The following is an 18,794-nucleotide window of genomic DNA, read 5'->3' on the forward strand; positions in this document are numbered from 1 at the left end:
GGCTACCTGTGGCCCCCGGCCCCTCCCTCCACCTTCAAAGCAGCATTGTTCAGTAGAGCATTTCTCATGCTGTGCTACTGACCCTCCTGTTCCCTCTCTCACTCTCTCACCTACACGGATACTTGTGACCACATTGGACCTACCTAGATAATCCAAGACAACCTCCCCACCTCACATCCTTAACCTAATCATACCTGCAAAGCCCCTTTTGCTAGGTTAGGTAGCACATTCACAAGTTCTAATGATTCACATGTCAACATGTTGGAGGGGGGCACGTTATTTGGCTGCCACAGAAAGTAGGTTAGTTGCTTTTTATTGCTGTATAACAAATTGCCCCAACATGTCGTGACTTAAAACAATAAATGTTTATTTCCTCACAGTTTCTTGGGGTCAGGAACTTGGGAGTGGCTCCTCTGGATGGTTCTGGCTCAGGTCTCTCATGGGGTTGTAGCCAGGATGTCAGCCAGGGCTGCCATCATTTGAAGGCTTAAGTGGACCTACAGGGTCCGCTCCTTGGTGCTCTTACGTGGCTGTCGGCAGGAGGCCTCAGGTCCCCTCCACACGGACCTCTCCATAGGTCTGCTTCAGCATCCTCATGACATGGCAGATGATTTCCTCAGAGCAAATTATTGATGAGACAGAGGGAGAGGGAGAGAGAGGGGAGGAGAAGGAAGCCACAGTGTTTTTATTAATATCACCTAGTCTCAGAAGGCATGAACCAGCAGTTTCACTCTACTCTTATTTATTAGTAACAGGTTGTTAAGTCCAGCCCATACTCAAGTGGAAGGGAAATTAAGATGTACCACTTGAAGGGAGGAGGATCAAATAATTCATGAACATATTTTTAAATTGACACAAAGCGAGTGTGCAGAGGCTGGAGAGTGCGGGGTGTGTTCGGGAACCACCACTAGATTGGGATACAAAGGCAGAGTATATGGGGAAGGGGAGTGGGAGAAGTGTCTGGAAAGGTAGATAGGGACATAGTTCCATGTGCCACAGGAAATAAAAGACATTGCATGTCAAGATTGGTCTCTAAGTATCTTCTTGCACCTGGATAAATACCTAGTTGATTTGAAGGACTGAATGTTTGTCCAGATTGAAAACAACATTACAACTTAAGTAGAATGTTAGCCTTATAAAAATAAGATTCATTTCATGAACTATATGCCATAGTTGAAGACCATTTATTACAATCATATTAGCGTATCCTGCAGTACACGCACTCACATTTGATACGGAGCACTCCCTCTGAAACGAATGCTGGCTTACACAGACCATCACTGAGCTTTGCCAGATCCTTTTCTTCCCCCCAACTTTGTTTTATGAGCTTTTTATACACACACTAGTGTGGAGAGGATATTTCAGATTCCCACATATCCATCACTCAGCTTCAGCGGTTATCAACTCTTTGCCATTCATCTCTTCTGTCCTCTTCTGGAGTTTACATATCCAGATCGGAAATGGGCTTCAGTCCCAGAAGAAACACAATAGCTGTTGTTTCTAGAGCAGATAAATGTCTCAGCTTAAATTTGCTTCAGCAATCAACTTACCAAAGAAAGTACATTGCTACGTAGTGGTTGACTGGGTCCTGGCTGGCCCCCCATTCAATTGTCACATGGGTCATTTATTTTTATCCCTGCCGCTGACCCCAGAGGATCACTAACCTGGATAACAAGATCTCCACTGCTTCTGCCCTGTGCTGGGCCTCAGTTTCCCTCATTTATACAATGAGGGATTTTAAACTAGATGATTGCTCATGGCTCTAAAACTCTACAGTTTGGAAACATTGCCTGTTACCAAGTGCAAACATGATATGGGCGATTAATAAATTACCCAGGGCTCTATTTAATTGTACCATAATTTTATTTTGGTTGGAAGCTCCCAAAGGCTTGGCTGCTGCTACAAGCATTATTATAAGGCCGTTGGATTTGTCATTGGCTGCTGTCGCAAAGTTACATGATGACTTCATTGGGAAAAAGAAATATACGATCGAGATCCATTCTCACGTACTCCATGCTTTTCTCTGGAGGGGGATGATGTGGAATGAGACTGTCTTTTGGAAACTTTGCCTGTGACATGGACACTGAAATTATGCCTACCATGTCTATTTTGGAGCATCACCCTAAGTGTAAAGCACCACTGAAAAAGAGTTCAGGGAAAAAGGCACCCCTGTAACCAAGTGTTTGTTGTTCTAAGACTGAGAATGCCCGGCCAGCGTGGGATAACCTGTGGGCAGCGGTGGATTAAGGTGGCAGCAATGTCCAAAGCGTCTCTGTCTCTTGCCCCTTTGTGATGGCTTTGCTGCCACATCCTCTCTCTGCCACAGCCCTGGAGATGGGAACTCTGCTGCTGACCACGAGGTCAGCAACTTGTACCCCTCGCTTCCCTGTCCTCAAGAATGATCATCCAACTTCAGGGAAATGGCAGATGACTCAATGCCGGGAAAGGAATCATTGTCTTGCTTTTAGGCACTGGCGTGTTAGTGGAGCATGTTGAGCCAGAGAGGAATGTGGAAATGATACCAGCCCTAGTCTGGGGCCCAGCGGGGCTGACTCTGAATGCTGTATCTCCCCCACCCCTCCCCAGTGCCCCACACTTCTAAAAAGCTAATTGAATTTTTGGGTCTCTCCGGGCATCTCATCTGGTCCCAGAGCCCTAGGGGGAACCGAGGACTCAATGTGTGAACTCTGGATAACCCCCAGATTCCGCAACTGATGGCTGCGGCTGGGGTATGCAGGGTTTATAGATGCTCCAACTTTTCTCTTTTTGCTCTCTCCTTACTCCACCCCCAATACATCTTCTGTTCCAGTAAGTACTCCACACAGAAATAAACCAATCTGATGTCATTATGTACCAAGTTCCAAACAAATGATCATTTTTACTCTTGTGGTAAAAACCGGGAACAAAAGTGGACTTGTGGGGCAGAGCTGGCGGAAGGGCCACATTGCATTCCTGGCGTTCCGGCTTGGGGTCTCCAGCCTCACGCGGCTTTGCCTTTGTCTCTGCAGCCCAGCCCGTGTTGTACTGGTGTGCCCGCAACATGTCTTTCTGGAGCAGCATTTCGTTTAACCTGGCCGTCCTGATGAACCTGCTGGTGGCGTTTTTCTACCCGTTTAAGGGAGTCCGAGGAGGTACCCATATCTTTAACTTCAAAAATCCTATTAGAAGCAGCAGGAAGGCTAGGACTTGCATCTCAGTTGTGGTTCCTGGATGTATTGGTGCAGTACTGGGGATCCCAGTTATCCACATTCAGACAAGAGGAGATTGTAGCTGTTACCATAGATTTAGTTTTAAATCTAACTTAAAATAATTTAACTTTTTTATCCATTTTTTTTAACCAGGAAAGAAAGAGAAGCAGCTAGATACTATTAAACCTGTGAGAAAGTCTCTTAATCAGCCCCTTCTTTTATATATGAGGAAACTATGTCTCAGAGCAGTTAAGAAATCAGGCCAAAGTCACATAGCTAACTAATGGCAGAGCTAACCCTAAAACGTAGACGTCTTGATGCTCAGTCCAGTATATGTGTTTCCACACCGCACTTCTGGAATTGATTTCAGACTAAAGAATTTGTAAGAAATCTCTGGAATATTTTTTTTGCCAGGGGTCAGAGGGGAGGCAGGACTTGAATGACTGCAGACTGTACAATGTTTAGTCTATTAAGAGGTACCTGCCATTATTCACATAACAAAACATGATGATTATGGTCTTTCTGGGTTCCCCCCAGCCTACCTCCTTCCAGGCTACACATTTTGCTGAGAAAAGGCAGACAATTTGGAGGTGGGCATTTTGCTATTTGGGGCCCCTCGACAAGCATTCAAAGCTCCTCTTCTGTGATACATTCATGGCCCCTTTTCTGACATCCACAGCAGCCACCTGGGAGGTCCACCTCCCGGCTAAATTTTTCATCAGAGCTTTTTGGCAGATCACCTCACATACGCATAGAACAACCTGCCAGGAACCACCTTATGTGACAGAGAATGGGATAAAGAGCCCAAAAACCACACAGGAGTAAGTTTCAGGCTCCACTCTTTAGCTTAATCATGCAGACATCAACGGAAGCAGACATGTATGGGTAATGAGTCAGTTTAAGGACCAACTTGAAAGCGATGTTATGTAATGCTTATATGCCTAAGTTACCCTTTTGAGGAGTTAGCTTTTCTGTTTGACCTTAAGTTACGTGGAAGGCACCATCTGAATGCCCCCGCTCCGAAAAGTACAATCTAAACACAAGTCCAGGGGGGATTTTTTTTTTAATGTCATGTCAGGAAACATGAATGCCCGTGTCTATGTCTAAAAAGATTTGACTAGAACCCAGAGCTGCAAGGTTTTCTCTTTGGGGATGTCCACCTTAACCCTGCTGCCAGACAGCAGAGGAGTGCGTGGCAGAGGGCTAGTGAGGAGCTCAGCTGGCGGCGGCGGAGGAGGCCCAGGTCTCCTTTCGCCTCAGGGAAGTTGTCATGTTCCTCACGGCAGATTATTCAACCCTTACCTTGTCTGTGTTTTCATTTACTCTCCATTGCCTTAAAAATATTTCAAACAGATTTTATTATTCGCCACGTCTGTTTTCTTCACCGGTCATTTGTGGCAGCATTCAGGCCAGTTCTGGGGACAGGGAGTTAACAGCCCCCCACCCTTCATTGACAAGCCTCCTGCAGTGCCTTTCTTAGACTTAGGAAGTCCAGAGACTTAAGGTCTCTGCCTGGCTCCTGCCGCCCATTTGCCAAGCCACTCTGGGCAAGCCACTTCAGCAAGTCCTTGTCATCCTTTATGTGAAGAGATGTTTACATTAAGCCCATGGTTAGAAAACTTTGATATGGCTTCAGAAAATCCTGTAGAACCCGGGGAAGAACAGTTGGCAAACTAGTCAAGATCTCCAGAGCATGTGTTTCTTGCCCATCCAAGCTTGAGATCCCCTGGATGGTATGACTATCGAGGGTCCTTCCAACTCTAAAATGGTGCATTCTGAATGAGCCACCAACTCAGGCTGGTCTGCAGGAGGCAAGGATGCATGGTTTGGAATCATGGGCTTTAGAACTTCATGCTGAGGGACTAAACTGAGAGCATAATTCAGAGCTCCGAGGAGATTTGACCTGAGGCTGATATGACCCAAGGAAGCCTTTTCCATTATCTAGTAGCTGATACTGCCTTAAGTGCATCAGTTCACTCTCAGAGGGATTCTTTTTTCCTTTTGTAAGATGCATTGAGGGCATTTCCTATACTCACTGCTAACCATCCTCAGTAGAAGAGTTGTATTAACCCTGCCTAGAAACAAGATCTGGTTTGTTGACCTGAAAGTATTTCTTTGAGCTAATATGTGTTAGGATTTGTTGCATCCTAAAGGCAAGATTTCATAATGTCCCTCTTGAATGTGTATAATGGCCGTATTATGTGTGCTGATTTTGTGTGGTTCTGTGGCTTACAAGGTTTGCAACTGCCAAGAACCAGTGGCCTTAAAAGCTCCTTTTCAAAAGTATCACCGCCCCTCCACCTTTGTTTTAGAACTGACAAGTTACAGTCTTTCAAAAGCGTGCAACTCAGGCAGCTTCAGATTGCTTACTGAATTTGTGAGCATGCCGTGATGGCTAAAGCAAATGTAGTACTACTTTTTAAATGTTTTTATTATTGAAATTGTCAAATATACACACAAGTAGAAAGAACAGTATAATGAGCTACCATATATCTATCAGCCAGCTTTAACAATTTTGCCTATCTTGTTTCATCTATCCCCATACTATATTTTCTGAAACATTTTAAAGAAGTCTAGACATCTTGGATTTTTTGTCCATAAATATTTCAGTGTATAACTTATGAGGACATTTTAAAATATGTATAATCACCATGCCATTATCATATCTAACAAAACTAACAGCAAATCCTGTAATAGCCTGCCCAAATTCAGATTTCTCCAACTGTCTCAAAGATGTCTTTCTAGAGTTGATTTTTTGGAATCTAGCACTATGTTTTTTAACACTGCCGTTATAGTGAGGAGACAGCATTTTTACATTGGCCTCTTCAGGATTTGGGACATACATTGTACTGGTCACATTGATGATACTGAGATCATCTTAAGAGTCCATTTAAAATGGCATTAAGCATTTCAGAAAATGATAAGCCACAGACTGGGAGAAAATAGTTGCAAAATATATATCTGATAAAAAGCTTATGTCCAGAATATGTAAAGAACTCTTACAACTCAACAATAAAAAAACTATTCAATTAAAACAGTGGGCAAAGCATTTGATCAGACACTTCACAGAAGAAGATGTATGAATGGCCAGTAAGCACATGAAACGATGTTGAGCATCACTAGTTATCAGGGAAATGTAAATTAAAATCACCACACCATACCACTGCAAACCTACTAGAATGACTAAATGAAAAAGATGGGCACTGCCAAGTATTGGTGATGCTGTGGATCAGATGGAACTGTCATACACGGCTGGTGGGAAGGCAGTGTGATACATTCACCTTGGAAAACAGTTTGGTATTGTCTTTTAAAGTTAAACATATCTGTAGGATCCAACATTCTACTTCTCTATGTTTGTCCAAGTGAAATGAAAATATGTCCACTCCAAGAATTGAACATGAATGTTTCTAGTAGCATTATTTGTAATCACTCCAAACTGGAAACTCATTGATTGTTAACTGGACAAATAAATTGTAATATATCCATACTATAATATAGTCAGCAATAAAAAGTACAAAGTATCAATACATACATGGTAACCTGGATGCATCTTAAAAACTTGCTCAGTGAAAGAAGTCAAGCACAAAGGACTACCTGATAGGATTATTTTCCCATTTTTATGAAATTCTAGAAAGTGCAAAGCTATAGGGACTGACACTATTAGATCAGTGGTAGCTGGGGGTAGGGATGGGGCAAGGCATCACCTGCAAAGAGGCACAAGGAGACTTTTAGAGTGATAAAAATGTTCTGTATCTTGACTGTGGTGACAATTACATGCGGTGGTCACATGACTATATAAACTGCCAAGATTCACCAAATTTTACACTTAAAATGCATGGATTTTTTAAAATATTGATTAAGGACCATCGACTTCAGAGGCAAATGGTCTGCAGCCATTTGCTGCATCACTTTGGGCAAGAAATGTAACCTGAGACTCAGTTTCCTTTAGAGTAGACCGGGGACAGTAGGATGAATAAATGATCATCAACATCAAGGGCTTGACACGATGTCTAACAATTGTTAAATGCGTAGAAAGCGGCACATGTGCCTCAATGTGCACTTCTTGAATTTCTGAGAAACCTCTGCCTCTTTGTCCCCATTCCCAATCAGCTTTGCCTTTTGAAGGATTTCAAAAGGGAAGAGGTAAGTGGCTGGGCTGGGGGGAACAGTTGTTAAAGTGAGGCTGAATCTCCGCAGGCGTGGACTCAATGAACTAGGGCAGCCAGCAGCTGGTGGAAGAGCTGTGCCCTGCAAAGGTGTCTCCTCCCCAGTGGTGCCACAATCCAAGCATCTCTGAAGAAGTGAAGCTCCTTTATATAAGTGGCCTTAATCATGTAGTGCTGCTTGTTTACATCTGAAGGAGACTCAAAATGTGACAGCATTTGAAATAGGGGTGTTTTTTTTTTAATGAGTGTTTTACAGAACTATATTTTTAGCCGTGTTGGCTCATGTTATATAACCAAGCCGTCTCGTGGGACACTCTAAATAGAACTTGCAGTAGCAAGAGATGACAAAAATTGGTATAAGCTCTTTGACTGCAGGGATAATCTAATTGTAGCATGATGCTCATGACACGGAAGTTGCCTTTCTCCTTCCCTTGGAGAAATCTGATTCAGGCAGGGGACCTGCAGTTTTCCTTTGCATACTTTTAATAGAAATTAAGTTTAGGCTTCCACGTCGCCTTCTTTGAGTGAAGTGTGACACATGCATGAGTTTTATTTCTCGAACGAGCTTTTCGTGAGTACCTGCCAGGCACCAGGTACTTCCCCTGGGGAATGTGCAATCTGGTGAGAGAGAGACAAGTAAACTGACCATTAGGAAATAGTGTCCTGTAGGGATGACTGGAAGCAGGGAGTACGGAGGAGGAGGGAACTCCTGACATGTTTTTGTGGGGAGGAAGGGGATTGGGGGAGGCTTCCTGGAAGAAGTAATGTCAAAGCTAAGACCTGAGATGAATGAGAAGGGAAGAACTTCCCAGCAGAAGGAGCATGTGTGGAGGCTTGGAGGTCAAAAAATGCTGATGGGACTGGTTATGGATGGGGCAGAGAATTTGAGGTGAGAGTTGGGACTGGTAAGCCAAAAAAGTTATTGAGGAATCTGTAACAGTGCATGTTTTAGGTCTGTCCCCTGTACTCAGTGAAGGCACAGATTTGTGAGAGAACCCTGTTTTGTCCTTGCAGGAACCCTGGAGCCCCACTGGTCGGGACTCCTGTGGACAGCCATGCTCATCTCTCTGGCCATCGTCATTGCCCTCCCCAAGCCCCATGGCATCCGGGCCTTAATTGCCTCCACAATTCTACGACTGATATTTTCAGTCGGGTTACAACCCACGTTGTTTCTTCTGGGCGCTTTCAATGTAAGTGTGAATACCTTCCTTGCCACTGTTTTGTTTGCAGATTAATAGGAATGCCTTGCACTCTGGTTTCTAGAATCCTGGCCTGTGCTTTCAGTCCAGAAAATTATTGTTTGGGGCAACTGTTTAAATAGCCAGAAGCAGGGGATGGCTGCAGGTGGACGTCTCCCTCTTGACCTCCGCGTGGTGCAGTGAGCCTTGTAATGGATCCCTTGGGCATCAGCACTTTCACTTTTAGGGACTATCCCTGTCAGGAGATAGGCAGAAAAAGTGGTAGTGCTTTGAGATTTAAGTTAGTTTTGCCAATCTGGTCAAAGGTTTGTTGGGACAGAAGATTTTAGACAATAAGTGAAATGATCAAATATTAACACCGTACCCACTTCTGGAAAGGGCCACATAGAAAAGAGGGGATAGGTAAGAGGGCCTGGCCAAATACAGAGACAGGGCAGGTGGAGAGGGAAGAGGAGAAGCAGAGACAATTCTTTAAAAGTCAGTGGTGACATTTAGAAATGCTGTTTCACTACCATTGAAAGATAGAAGCCAATTTCATCTCTGGGAGAATTCTTAGGACAAACTGATATAAAACCATACATTGGAGAGGTTTCCTTGTGAAGGGAAGGAGAAAATTTGGACATGTGAGGCACTGGAGGATCTAAAAATGCCTTCCAGGGGTTTCTGCCCTGAGTATATAAGGAAGCTGAGGTCCCATGCAAAACTGGAAGTGATATCGCAAAATAATATAGTAATTCAGTGCAACAGCAAAAGCCCCAAAGGGAGTATTCAAATGGCACAGGCAGCAAGGACTTTAGAGAACAGGTCATGTCAAGCTGAAAAGCTTACAGCGGGGAGGAGGCAGGATGGAAGTTAGGGCTTAAGGAATGGAGGGCCAGGCTCGGTGGCTCACATCTATAATCCCAGCACTTTGGGAGGCCAGGGTGAGCAGATCACTTGAGATCAGGAATTTGAGACCAGCCTGGCTAACATGGCAGAACCCTATCTCTACTAAAAATACAAAAATTAGCTGGGTTTGGTAGCATGCGCCTATAATCCTAGCTACTCGGGAGACTGAGGCAGGAGAATCACTTGAACCTGAGAGGTGGAGGTTGTAGTGAGCTAAGATGGCACCACTGCACTCCAGCCTGGGTGACAAAGGGAGACTCCATCTCAAAAATAAATAAATGAACAAATAAATAAATAATTTTTAAAAAAAAGGGAATGGAGAGGATCTGGCCATGAAGCGGGGATTGAGAAGAGTTCTTTGGTTTCGTGGGCCCCATAGGCCAGAGCAGAACAGTGGGAAAGCTCGGGATGTTATCAACAGACAATAAATAAAGAGTTTCACCTCATTCGTGGTTCAGTAGTGATCAGTAGGAACTGATCCTGTGTAAGTCACTTGCAGCACTGAATTTTAGGATAAAGCAACTGGACTTCATCCCCCAGGTCAGCATTCCCAGAGCATATTCCACGTTGATAAATATGAGGTGAAAAAAGGGTTCCGTGATTGAATCCGCATGAAAAATGCTGAGGTAAACACAATGAAAGGTTTCATTACTGCAGGCTTCCTCACAGACTTTAATGTACTAATATGGATTAGGAACCTCCAAGGAAAACAGTGTCTTTCTGTTTCCCAAACTTATTTTCCTGCAGTTTTTTGTAAGTATCACTTGAGATTAGTGTTGTATAGAATGTATGTTGGAAACTCTGTTCCCAGTAGTGGAAAGTGCCTGTGGTGTTTTTGAGCCAAGAAATGGTCCATACAAAGAAGTATTCTTGAGAAAATGCATTCAGTATGGCTTGTTATGTGGATTCATCAGGAGGGACTAGAGGCAAGGAGGCTTTTTAGGGGCTGTAGCGACGCTTTGATTAGGTTTGAGAAGCCTGAGTCTTGGACATAGTGTAGAAGAAAGAAGGAAGGTATGGACGTCAGAAATGGGAAGGAAACAGGCTGGGCACCGTGGCTCAAGCCTGTAATCCCAGCACTTTGGGAGGCCAAGGCGGGAAAATTGCTTGAGGCCAGGAGTTCAAGACCAGCCTGGCCAGTATGCATGTGAAACCCCTCTCTACTAAAAAAAAATACAAAAATTAGCCTGGCATAGTAATGCATGCTTGTAATCCCAGCTACTTGGGAGGCTGAGGCACGAGAATCTCTTGAACCTGGGAGGCAGAGGTTGCAGTGGGCTGAGATGGTGCCACTTCACTCCAGCCTGGGTGACAGAATGAGACTGATTAAAAAAAAAAAGAAAGAAAGAAAGAGAAAGAAAGAAAGAGAGAAAGAGAGATGAGGAAATAGTAACACATGGTGGGCACAGAGTCAGAGCCTTACCCCACCCAGAAAGCAATGTGCTTCTATTAGTTCGTTCTCACATTGCTATAAAATGCCTGAGACTCGGTAATTTATAAGAAAAGAGGTTTAATTGGCTTGAGGTTTTGCAGCTGTACAGGAAGCATGGCAGCATCTGCTTCTGGGGAGGCCTCAGGGAGCTTTCACTCATGGCGGAGTAAAAGCAGCAAAGTTGGAGCTGGAACAGGAGGAAGCGGATGGGGAGGCGCTACACGCTTTTAAACAACCAGCTCTCTATCACTATACTGTATCCGGGACAGGTGGCGCTAAACTATTTATGATCCAGTCACCTCCCCCCAGGCCCCACCTCTGACACTGGAGATTACAAGTTAACAGATTTGGGGGGGACACAGAACCAAACCATACTGCCACTCTGGGTCCCTTTTTCAGACAAAGAGGGTATCACTGTCTTGATTGGGTAATGAAGGAGGCAAATATGACTCCAAATTTTCAGTCACAAATGATTGGGAGAAGAATAATGTGGCCATCTAAAATGAAGTCATGCAAAGATTTAGTTTTTCAGGGTGAAAATGCATTTACATCGTTGACCTACTGGGCTTCAGGTGGAAAGACACGCTGTTAACGTGAGCTGCGGCATTTGGAAATACATGACCAGAACTACAGAGAGAGATCAGTGTGGGGAGGGGAATGTAGGGATTGCCTGCAGTGAGAGGAAACCATTTAAGAAAGAAATACAAAAGAATTACATAAACAACTAGGTAGAAAAAATGTTCAGTATTTCAGAGGCTGTCTTCTATGGGCTGTCTAGTTCTTTTCTTCTCTGGCCTTCTCTGATAATCATTCCACAGTTATCACTTCTTTAACACAAATCAGTTGGGGGAAAGACTCAACTGAGATAATTAATTACCATTTACAACAACATAAGCTGGTAGGGGGCAAACAGCTATAATAAATAATTATTTAGAGTAAATTTTATTTTACATTTTTTTTGAGACAGAGTCTCGATCTGTCACCCAGGCTGGAGTACAGTGGTACAATCTCGGCTCACTGCAACCTCCGCCTCCTGGGTTCAAGCAATTCTCCTCCCTCAGCCTCCCAGGTAGCTGGGACTACAGGTGTGTGCCGCCATGCCTGGCTAATTTTTTGTATTTTAGTAGAGACGAGGTTTCACCGTGTTGCCCAGGCTGGTCGCGAACTCCTGAGCTCAGGCAATCCACCCGCCTCGGCCTCCCAAAGTGCTGGGATTATAGGCGTGAGCCACCATGCCCCGCCTAGAGTGAATTTTAAAAGAGAGAAACACCCACATGGAATGTATGGGAGAGGGAAAGTACCTGTGGACGGAGACAGAGAGAGAATATTGGAGTTCTGAGAGCTGGAGGAGGAGAAGGTGGGGTCCTAAAGCCCAGCTGGGAGAGTGGTGAGCAGGGTGCGCTGGGAGACTTGTCACGCCGCAGGGAGCTGGGAAAGATGCTAAGAGCAGACGGGAAGACTGCTGGGTGCGCAGAATCCTTGGAGACTTCACATGAGCTGTCTCTGTTGAGAGGTGGGGATGGAAGCCAGATCTAAGACTAACAAGCAGAGTCCAGCCGCAGGCTGAGACCACAAATAGCAGCTATTTCCTGGGGAAGCAATGGAGAAAACTAGGGCAGAAGTTAGAGGGGAGAATGGACTCAGGTGAAGTGGATCACCCTGTTGTTAAGTTGGCAGGATCTGGGGTGTGTTTGAGGTGCTGTAATGTGTGATGTCACCCAGGGCACCATCTGCCTCTCCCTGAAACCACATCATCATGGATCATCCAGAATCAGTGATACTTTCCCACCCTCTGAAATCCCCTCCACTAGCAAAGGTGAGAATTTTGGAAAAAATTGGCAGATTGAATGCTTAGCCTGTCTGAGAAAGCCAGCAGCGATCTGTGGGTGTCGGCTTCCTCGCTTATCTGATTGCCGAGAAGCTCACTTACACCGACCTACCAGATTAACTGGCAGTATTTCCCCCGCACCTGTGGCCAAGGGAGCTAGAGTAGCAGAAGATGGTTTTACCAAGTGCATCCAGAGAGGTCCCTCTCTGGCCTCCTCCTGAGCCAAGTTTTTCTGTCAACATATTGCTAGAGATGGACTTCCAGGCATTGGGGTTTCTATCAAAGGTGAGACTATATTGCACAGTAGTTCAGTTAGGACTCCTTCAGTTGCAGATGTCAGAAAACCTAATCCATGCTAGCCTCAGCAAAGGAGAATATGTATTGGTTCATTTTGACCAAGAAACCAACAGCCTCGCTTCAGGCACAGCTGATACAGGGGCTCACACAGTGTCCTCAGGGCCCAGTTCCTCCTTGCCATCTTTTGGCTCTGTGTCCCCAGTGCTGGTGGTGCCTTCAGTGTTGGTAATGTGGCAGCTCCAGAGTTCACAGCTGCTCAGGTTCAAGGTCAGTGGGAAAGAACAAAATTATCTTTGGCTGCAATCCCAAGAAAGAGCTCAGTGGACATCATTGGCTCCATTTGGTCCTGTGTCTATCTCTAAACCAGTCATTGTACCCAGGGGAATACAATATTGTGATGGCCAGGTTGGAGCCCCACCCAGACCTCAAAGACTGCTACTCAGAGAGGAATGGTCCCCAAAGGAAAATTAGAAGTTATTCCCAGAAGAGAGGGCAGGGGAATAGAACTCATCCTGAAGTCCCTTATATTTTTTTTCCCCCAAGAAAATTGTTGTTTTCCCTGTGAACTTAGGAGCATTGAAAGGCAAGAACTGATCACTGCTCATTAAATTGCCACCTTACAGTGCCTAGAATGTAACAAATTCAGAAAATGCTTTTGATCATGCTGATCACAGGGTTCGTGGATTGAGGTGACTTCTGTGTTTGACTAACTCATACAAGAATGTTAGAAATGATTCATATCTCATTTTGAAAATCATAATCTCAGTATGTGTTAATTTTGTTTTTGCCATAGAGAAATGCTACTTGATTACTGTTGCGCATGAAGTTATTTGACTACCATGTAATTTGTAATATGCCTGAAAAGCAAAGTAATGAAATGACTTAGATCTGCAAATGGGTCTTGGCGGGTTTGGTGGGCACCGGGTGGAAAAGGAAGCGTTTGTTTGGGCACGGTGACTGAAATACATTTGTGTGAGATGCTCTCGTTGCTCTCATGAAGAGTTTGGCACAGTCCGTGCCATCTGACTGTTCCTGTCATTGTTCTCAGGTATGCAATAAAATCATCTTTCTAATGAGCTTTGTGGGCAACTGTGGGACATTCACAAGAGGCTACCGAGCCATGGTTCTGGATGTTGAGTTCCTCTATCATTTGTTGTATCTGGTGATCTGTGCCATGGGGCTCTTTGTCCATGAATTCTTCTACAGTCTGCTGGTGAGTACCTGGTGTGGAAATATTTTATGTGTGGGGAAACTAGGAGAGTGTCCTATGTCCTCTCTCTCATCACAGACCCTTCCTTTTAATGGTGATTGGTGTGCCTGGTCCACCAAGATTGAAGCTCCACAGTTGGCAGCCTTTGGGGGATCTGAGAGGAAAGCTCCACAGGAATTGGGTCAGCCCAGGAATTCAAGAGTCACACAACCGCACTGTGTACTGGGCACTCCCGATCTGTTACTTCTCAGTAATGGAACATGCCTGTAGTAGGTTCAGGAGATGTTTCCTTTCCATGCACCTTTGTTTTTCTTTACTTCTTAGACTCAGCCGCACTTACACCAAGAGGAGTGTTTTTGAGGCTGTCATCCAACAGCTCTCAGGGAGTCCATTTCTTGTGAACACGTGTAGCGACCATAAGAGTAGGAGCTAGTTTTGAAGCCCCGGGATTCATGATCATGAGCTCAGTAGATTTATTGGTCTAGGAGACCCTTTCAGTAGCTCATTTTCCTCCGATATGAGCCAAGTGCTTAATGTCTTGACAGTCTGTAAGACAAGCTGGTTCCATCACCTTCCTCCTGAGCAGGTTTTTAAATGACAAATCAAGGAACTACTTACTTTCCTGTAGTTGGAGGGAATCTAGACCTGTGGCGTTGTAGATAAGAAACCATTTTCTTGTGCCTACATAAAATGACAGGAAGCATAAAACTGACCTATCTGCAAGCAACACCATAAACAGCCTAGGAATATTAAAATATTTGTGAGGACAAAAATGATCAAGGCCTAAGGGTTGGCTTACAAAGAGGGGGACTTACAAAGAGAGGGGGGCTTACAAAGAGAGGGGGGCTTACAAAGAGAGGGGGGCTTACAAAGAGAGGGGGGACTTACAAAGAGAGGGGGGCTTACAAAGAGAGGGGGGCTTACAAAAGGCAGAGCAAGGGAAGCTCTTCAGGGAGATGCTTAGAAAACCCCCCCGAAGCGCGTATGAGAGGCATCCAGCCACGATCTAGTTTGATCCTATTGCGTTTTCTTAAAGTGAACTGAGGAGCAGTTCAGCATCAGAAGCTGGGAGTTACTCTTATCTTTCTGCAATAGGTTAGAGATTTGAAAGTACAAAATGCAACTGTGTGAGATGCTCCCTTCGCTTAACGTACTTGACTGCCTTGTGCCACAGTTTCCTCATCTACAAAATGAGAACAGTGTATCTCCCTCACAGGGCCGTCACAGGGATTACATGCAGCTGTTCAGGTCAGGGTCTTAGAATAGCACTGCCGAATGATTGCCAGCTATTTTATTGTCTTTGTCATTCTATATTCCTTCCCCCGTCCAAAACACCATAAGGAATTCACCGTTCAGATCACTAGGATTAGCTCATACCATTAGGGGTGGATTTTGGCAGGCTAAAGGGAATGGATTCTTTTCCCTCATCTTAAAATAGGTCTGGCTATATTTTGAGGTTTTAGGCAAAGAGGTCTCAGGATATCCTTGTGATTCCCATTATGTCGCCTATTTTGGTCACTTTGTATCAGAAACCTTTAGAGACTTACGTCTGTTTCTGGAACTTTTTGTCTCATGCCATCATGTCCCTGGACAACAAATTCCTGTCCTCCCTTGGGAGGGCGGCAGAGTTCAGTTGGTGGTCTCTCTCATCCCTGCCAAGGGCTCTCTCCCAAGAGACAGGAGATGCCCCTTTGGTCAACGCCACCTTGCCCCAGTAGACACTTCGACCTTTCCTCCAATCTGCCTCCAGTTGGCTTGGCTTCTTTTCTGTTCATTTGAGTCCTCTTCTCTTCATCACTTGCAATGCAGGCCAGTGCCAGTGCCTGACGCAGGGCACATAATGGTGAGAGGAACACAGTCCCTACCCTCATAGGCCTCACAGTCAGGAGCACATTACAGGGACAGCCGTTTTGTGAGTGGTCACCCTGCACTCTTCTCTACACACTCTCACTACCACCTTTGAGGTAGATGGTATCTTCCAATTACACCTGAGGAAACTGAGGCTTGGTGAGGTTAGGTAACTTGCTCAGAGTCACACTGTCAGTAACTGGTGGAGGCAGGAGAGCCTCACAACTCTGTTGATTCCCAAGTTGACACTGCCTTTTATTCAAGCATGTGAAAAAGTCCTTGCATCAGTGAAACTGGCATTTCACGTTCCAGTTTGCATCTGTGCTTTCAAGTCTCCAACCTATCACAGAAAGATAAGAGTAACTCTCAGCTTCTGATCATGCTACCTCAGTTCACTTTTAGGAAACGCAATAGGATCAAACCAGATTATGGTTGGCTGCCTCTCCTGTGCTTTGCGGGGGGATTTTCTAAGCTGTGTGGACCTTGACTTGTTTGTGTCTTCAAGTGATGTGCTCCTTTTGGTATCAAAGCAGTACTCAATGTGTCTGGTAAGAACCAGAAAACACTGACACTTCAAATTATTCTACTAATAAGGAAAGCCTGCAACCAAAAGAAATCGGGCTGCCTGTAAAAGGAGAGAGACCTGAGCAGGGAACACCCATGTGTTCCAGAGTTGGGAGAGCTCCCTCCATGCCAGCAGGCCGGAAGGTAGGGAGGGTGATCTGGTGGCCTAATTAAACTGCTGCCCCCCCTCCCCCACAAAGACTGGCCGGACCTGGTCGTGAGCCTGCATTAAAGCTGTGTCCTTAGAAAAATATTAACACCTGGAGATGAAAATGTGCAAAGTTCATAAGCAGGCAGTTAACAAAAGCAGAAATCCAGATGGTCAGTAAACATGGAAAAATGTTCATCCTTGGTGCTAAACAAAGACATGCTAATTAAAACAGCGCAATCCTGTGTTTTACCTGTGACATTAGTAAAGGTTAAAAAGCCTGATGGTGCCCAGTACTAGTGAGAGTGGGGTAAAATGGGCATGATTCTTTACTAGTGGTGAATGTAAACTGATCCTGCCTTTCTGAAAGCAGCAGGCAAAATGTTTCTCTTATACCATTTGACTCAAATACTCCATTTCCAAAAATTCGCCGAAAAGGAATAACTAGACGAGCACGTATGGAGGCATGTATAGAAGTGTTCCTCACAGCATTATTTGTTATGACATATAATTGGAAACATCTTGACTGTTTTTAAAAAACATATTGGTTATGTTAATCATGTTTTTCCCATATAGTGAAATACCAGGTGATCATTTTTGACAGGAAAATGTTCCTGATGGCTTGGTGAAAGGCTGGTTATGTGCCAGTATTATGGTCTAATATTTTTGTAAACAATATATATCTATAAATTGCATTTTTTAAGGCCAGAAGGAATTAAGCTATTGAGCGAATGTCTCTAGATGGTGAATTATTAGTGACTTTTTTTCCTTTGTGCTTTTTTTTGTTTTCCAAGTTTTCTCCATTGAACATGTATAATTTTCCAATTAGAAGAAAGCTTTTCTTTTATATAAATAATACTTATTGATTGTTTTAAAATCAGAAACTATAGATGAGTGAAAAGGAAAAAATCGCTTGTCATTTCTATGATTTGGAGCCTGTGTAATCTCTGCGGTCCTTAACCACAGAAAACAAGTGCCATTTGTTTGTTGTCTGAAGTTGCGCTTACTTGCCACTTTATATTGAGCTGCTGGAAAACATTTAACCAACATTAACAGCAACACTTTGCCTTCTGTCATATTGTATTGACTAAAATCCCTCTTCCTTGCTTCCCTTTAAGTATCCTACTCTACCCAATGCCCTTCACAGAACTAGTCTCAGAACACAGATTGGTGTCAAGGAGGCAGAAAAGCCAATCGACCGGAAAATGACCTCAGATGAAAAATTCTAAATTGGAAGGGACTCAGAGATCAGCTGTCTCAGTCCACTTATTTTACAGATGAGGAAACAGATCCAGAGAGCTTAGATGGCTTGGCCGACATCTTGCAACAAATTAAAAGCAGTCAGGATTCAACCCTGTCCCCTGACTCACTTCATGGTGCAGTCACACCCCAAAGCCACAGTGGAGACCAAACCTTCTGTACAGGATTAGACAGCAGCCAGAGGCCATGCTAAAAACTAGCCTCAGGTCTAAGAGTAACTTCAGAGAGCTCTCTCCCCACACTCCCCACCATTCTCCCAGTCAAGTATCTGTGACTGTAGCTCTTGGAAAACTAGCCATCATCCTCCCATACCTATATGTACCTACAAGGATCCTCCATTCCTCAGGAAGCCAACTTCTTGCAAAGAGCAGGTTCCTTAGCAGAGGGCAAGCCTGGATTGTGAAGGCACTGTGACCTGCAGGGGTCTTACCCTCGCAATGTTAACGTCACTAATGTCCCTGCGATACACCAGCTATGTGACCCTGCCCCAGTCTCTTGATCAGGAAATTGATGATAATTACTATTTACTGTACTTACTGAGCATATGGATGCCAGTGTGCTAAGCACTGTGCGTACGTGGTTTACTTATTCTTCATAACAACTCTACATCCTCCAGTCTGCAAATGAGGAAATGGAGACTCAGAGGGGATGAGGAAAGTGCCTAGCCCGAGATCATACGGTGGACAGTAGCTGAGCTGAGATTTGAATTTACATCTAAGTCCAGAGTTCTTGCCACTGACGCTGGCTTGTAGTACGTCTGCCTTCC

At 44.5% G+C, this 18,794-nt stretch overlaps 1 protein-coding gene across 4 annotated transcripts in view; it reads left to right on the top strand.

Moving 5' to 3' along the window:
* Window positions 1-18,794, top strand: part of ITPR1 (inositol 1,4,5-trisphosphate receptor type 1) — a 354,159-nt gene that overhangs the window by 298,709 nt on the left and 36,656 nt on the right. For all 4 annotated transcript variants that reach the window (NM_001378452.1, NM_001099952.4, NM_001168272.2 and 1 more), the window contains 3 exon segments: window positions 3,009-3,131; window positions 8,369-8,544; window positions 14,047-14,211. In NM_001378452.1, coding sequence (NP_001365381.1) covers window positions 3,009-3,131; window positions 8,369-8,544; window positions 14,047-14,211 — 464 coding nt within the window.

This window comes from Homo sapiens, chromosome 3 (genome assembly GCF_000001405.40).
Source record: "Homo sapiens chromosome 3, GRCh38.p14 Primary Assembly".
NCBI classification, from domain to species: Eukaryota; Metazoa; Chordata; class Mammalia; order Primates; family Hominidae; genus Homo; species Homo sapiens.